Here is a 5,271-nt window from a genome sequence, read left to right as displayed (position 1 = left end):
CTTGGAACATATTTCCCAAAGTGGTATTCCAAGGTCAAAGGGTTTGATCAATTTTATAATTTGACATGGTGATTTTTAAAAGCATTTAACCATGGGTTCAGAAACATCCTTGCCCATTTTTTCACAGACTCCTGTTGCTGGAGAGCTGGCAGGCAGTACGGTATGGTGGAAGGAGGGTGGGTGCTGGGTAAGGAGAGCGGGGCTCGGGTCTGGGCAGTGTTTCTCTACTAGGAGTGGGGGACTTGGCAGTGTCTTAGCCTCTGTGAAGCTTGGTTTCCCCAGCTGTGAAATGTGAAACGTGGGAGGTGCCATCTCTCCCAGCATCAGGCACAGCAGGCATCAGTTGCCTACATCTGTTCCTGATCTTGGCCTGAGGCCCTGGCCATCCTTGTCACACCCTCACCCTGGCCCACCTTTGTGGAGGGTAGGCTGAGTAACTTGACTTGAACAATTAACTGTCAAAGTGTCAAGGAAGGTGTGGGTTCTGCACCATAAGGAGGTGTGTAGACTGCCATCTTCTGGTGCAAAATGTTAGTGTCCAGATGATTTAGGGATCAAGCTACTCTCCCTTGTGTCCCCATGAAGATCTGTCCCCCCCGGGGGAAGCTGCAAGAGAAGGGGCGGGGGGGTTCTCCCAACACAGGCTGGCCCTAGAGTCTGGTACTTTAAGGTGATGTCCTCCTTCTGCCAGTGACACTGAGAGAGAGGAAGATGCTGGGTTTTGAAAGCCTGCTTGTAAATGAAGGTGCTTTTTGAGACTGTGGAGGTGATGGCAAGAAGGATCTTTGTGAAAACAGGAGGTCTATATCAGCAATTTACTAAACCGGTTCAGAGAGGCTGACAGCAGTGGTCAATCAGTCCACAAATATTTACAGAGCGCCTACCATGTGGCAGACACATGCTCTGGCAAACGCTGTTGAAAGAGACAGGCAGGGTTCCTGCTCTCATTGTCTAGTGGGAAACATTGGTGATAAGGTTAATTCTTTTTCAACTGATATGCTTTCTTTTATTTAGTTGGAGATAAACAGAAAATTAAAAGTAATTTAAACCATACTATTTTGCCTCTCAAACACTACAGCCAATTTTATTTCAATACCTTCCAGCCCTTTCAGATGCGTATGCACACTTTTAGCAGAGCTATAATCATAATGCCTATGTGATCCTGAAGTTTGTTGTATTTGACTGATAATAAACATCTCTACACTGCTATCAATCTGCACAGTTATCCTTATTGCTGTATAAGAGGCAAATGTGTGGCTGTATCAAAATCTATATAGCAATTCCCTCAAGTTTAGTATTTTTTTTTTTTTGCTACAATAGATATTGTTGATGTTGACTTCTTTATGGAGGCTTTTTTTTTTTTTTGAGATGGAGTCTCGCTCTGTCGCCCAGGCTGGAGTACGTTGGTGTGATCTCGGCTCACGGCAACCTCCAACTCCCGTGTTCAAGCTATTCTCCTGCATCAGCCTCCTGAGTAGCTGGGACTACAGGAGCCCGCCATCACCCCTGGCTAATTTTTGTATTTTTAGTAGAGACGGGGTTTCACCATGTTGGCCAGGCTGGTCTCGAACTCCTGACCTCAGGTGATCTTCCTGCTTTGGCTTCACAAAGTGCTGGGATTACAGGCGTGAGCCACTGTGCTGGCCTCTTTATGCAGATTTTTATTGCATTACTTCTGAATAATCATGGATATAGTTCTTCCTATGTGTTTCCATATTAGTTCCCAAAGGAACTATTACTAATTTCGAATGCCACCAATATTGTATCAGTAAATCAATTTTGCTGCAACATCAGGTACATTGAATATTGTTGCTTCAAGGCATTTTTGAAAAGATTTTTAAATAGAGTCCCAAATTTGCTTTCTGCAGCATATCTTTGGATGCCAGTAGGCAGGTTTTTTTTTTTGCACATGTGCTATTTATAATTGCTCTTGTGTAAATGTCTGTTTATATTGTGGTTAAAAATTTGAATGAGTCCCTTGTTTGATGGCTTTTCTTAAAAGAGAGAAAAGCAATAGAAGATTGCATTACTGTAGCCCAGAGGGTCAGAATGGCACATAGGGTGTTACTCATTGGGTTAATAACTGTCTGGAATCTTCCCAAGAAAGCTCAGCTGTTCCAGGATCTAGAGTGCAAGTCTCTTCTGCTGCCCAGAACTGCTAAGCAAGAAAAGTGATTCTATAACACCCTTGGTGTGCTTGATTCAATCATGGAAATGACATTATTTCTCACTGTTTATGAAAAAGAGTTGGACACCAGTCTAGGTTACAATAATGCAAATGAAAGGTATGCGATTGGAGCGTTGTTTCCTAGTGACTTGGAAAAATGCATGGCATCCTTGAGTGTCTCAGTTGGAGAAGGCCTCTTCAGATATGGCCCAAACCAGAGAAGTGAAGTGACTTGCAGAAGCTCACACAGCAAGCCAGAGAAGGACTAAACCCCTAGCTGGCATCTATTTTAAATGAACCTGTGATTCTCTCCTTCCGGGCTTCCTCTCCTCTCCATTCCTTCTTCTTCCACCCATGGCCTGCCTCCTCCCAGCCTGCATAATTACCAAAGCATGCTCTGGGAGTGCCTTCTGCCTTGGGAGTAGGTTTCCTTTTCCTACATACCCTCCAACAAGACCCCTGGGCCTTTCTCTCTGGGAATTCAAAGTACTGTGCCACGCAGTGTTTTGTGCAGTAGCTAAAATATTTTGCCAGCACACAAGATCTTCTCCTCAAAGAGGACTGCGGATGTTAGAAGCTGCGCCTGTGTGAGGGTGGGAGATCTTGACTTTGTCAGGAAGCCTTTTGGTTTAAAATCTCGCTGGGCATGGTGGCTCACACCTGTAATCCCAGCACTTTCTGAGGCCAAGGCAGGTAGATCACCTGAGGTGAGGAGTTCGAGACCAGCCTAACCAGCATGGTGAAACCCTGTCTCTACTAAAATTACAAAATTAGCCAGGCATGGTGGCGCGTGCCTGTAATCCCAGCTACTTGGGAGGCTGAGGCAGGAGAATCACTTGAACCTGGGAGGGAGAGGTTGCAGTGAGCTGAGATCATGCCATTGCACTCCAGCCTGGGCAACAAGAGCTAAACTCCATCTAAAAAAACAAAAACAAAAAAACCCACCTCACTACTATTTTCTGGGAAGATTAGATGGAGAAAAGAACATTTGATTAACACTTACCATGTAGTAGGCACTACCTCCCTTAATTTCCTAAAAACACCTATGAAGTCAGAGATGTAGAAGTGGAGGTTCAGAGAGGTTAGGGAACTTGATCGGCTCCCACAGCTATGAACCATTTGCTAATCCACTGGTTCTGGAAAGGCTGATCAGAATCACCTGGGGCAGGGAGAGTTTCCAACTGGCGCTCACATATGTTTCCCAGTGAGAACAGCTGCACCCTATGGTGCTCAAGGTAGGAGTCGTGTGCCAGGACACCACCCCACAGACGTCCTGGTCTGGACAAGTGTCAACAAACTGATGAGGTATAGCAGGAGCTAGAAATCCATATAGAGGGTTTGTGATAAAGCCAAAGAAAAGAGCATCTGGAAAAGTTCCTTCGGGAAGAAAAAATAGAAGAATCCTAAAGACTGGGGCAAGGGGAGCATAACTCAAGGCCAGAAAAGGGAGAGGCTTTGTGGGTGGGAGGGTGCAAGGGGGCAGGGCCCAGGACAGGCTGACCTACTCCCAGGAAGGATGCTGGGGGTGGGAGGATGTGGCAGGGCTTGGGACAGGGAGGGGGCACCTGGGCAGAATCTCTGTCCACCACACTTGGAACAGGCAGGCAGCAGCTGTGCTAGGCAGAGCACTTGACCAGGAGATTTAAGACGCAGTTCTGGCTGTGTAGCCTCAGACAAGTCACATCAACTGTCTGTGACTTGGTTGCTTTCTCATTAAAAATAGGCATAAAAATAATCTTCTCTGCCTGCCTCTCAGTGGGATTACGGGAACTGACTGAGTTAACTCATATAAAAGTGATAAAAGTGTTTCATAAACTGTGAAACACTATACAAATGTCACAGAAGGATTATTAGATACAGCAGTAAGTTCTAATTCATTATTATTCAGAATTCCAGCAACTCAGCTTGTTCTTGGCTGTGTTTTATTGACAAGGCAGCATCTGATGCCCATTGAGATTCTGCTCATTAAAGCCTGGCACAGAGTGAGGCCTCCCTGTTAGCACCCCTCCCCACCCCAGCTCCTTTGTCCTGATGTTCTTACACCCTCAGTCCAACTAGGATGGATCTCAGCTACATAGAAAAATCTCTGATAGTGGTCTCACTGCCCTTGAAAAAAGCCTAACTCTCATTCTTAAAAAAAGCTTTTGGTGAAAGCTTCATTCATACAAGAATATATATATAACGTGTAAGTATAGTTTAAGGAATAACAATAAAACAAACCGCACACTAAACTTTAGAAAAAATACTACCAGTGCCTGCAAAGCTCCTATTGTTCTTCCCTGATGCATTCTCTTCACTCTCCTATCCTCGATTTTGCATTAATCTTTCTCTTGCTTTTTATTTTTTTGAGATAGGGTCTCACTCTGTCACCTAGGCTGGAGTGTAGTGGTGTGATCATAGCTCATTACACCCTTGATCTCCCGGGCTCAACTGATCCTCCCACTTCAGCCTCCCAGGTGGCTGGGACCACAGGCACATGCCACCACACCTGTTTACTTTTTTGTTTTTATTTTTAGAGATGCAGTTTCACTATGTTACCCAGGGAGGTCCCAAACTCCTGGAGTCAAGCAATCCTGCCTCAGCCTCCCAAAGTGCTGGGATTATAGGCATGAGCCACTGCATTCAGCCTCTCCTACTTTTGAGAAAGAGCTTTACCTTATAAGTATTATCCCTAGTTTTTCTTGCCTCTAAACTTTTATCAAGGGAATCATACTGTAAGTATTCTTTTATAACTTGCTTTTCACATCTGTGATCTATGTTGATGGGTACAGCTGTAGTTTATTCATTTTCATAGCTACATAGTTTCCACTATGGGACTGTGTTAGAATTTATTCCTCCTACAGCAAATGGACATTTGAGTTGTTTCCAATTTGGGACTATTTTAAACCATGCTTGTTTATTTCTCCTACTGCCTATATATGAGAGTTAATATTTATCTAGAAGTGGAATTACTGAGTCATAAGGTATGCGTGTCTTTAATTTTATCAGATAAGGCCAAACTGTTCCAAGTGGTGGTAACAATCAACTCTCCTACCAACCATGTATGAGAATTCTCATTGTTCTACATCCTTGCCCCTGCTTGATTGCCTGTGTTTTAAATTTCT

This window comes from Homo sapiens, chromosome 15 (assembly GCF_000001405.40).
Source record: "Homo sapiens chromosome 15, GRCh38.p14 Primary Assembly".
NCBI classification, from domain to species: domain Eukaryota; kingdom Metazoa; phylum Chordata; class Mammalia; order Primates; family Hominidae; genus Homo; species Homo sapiens.
This window is presented reverse-complemented; position numbering follows the sequence as displayed.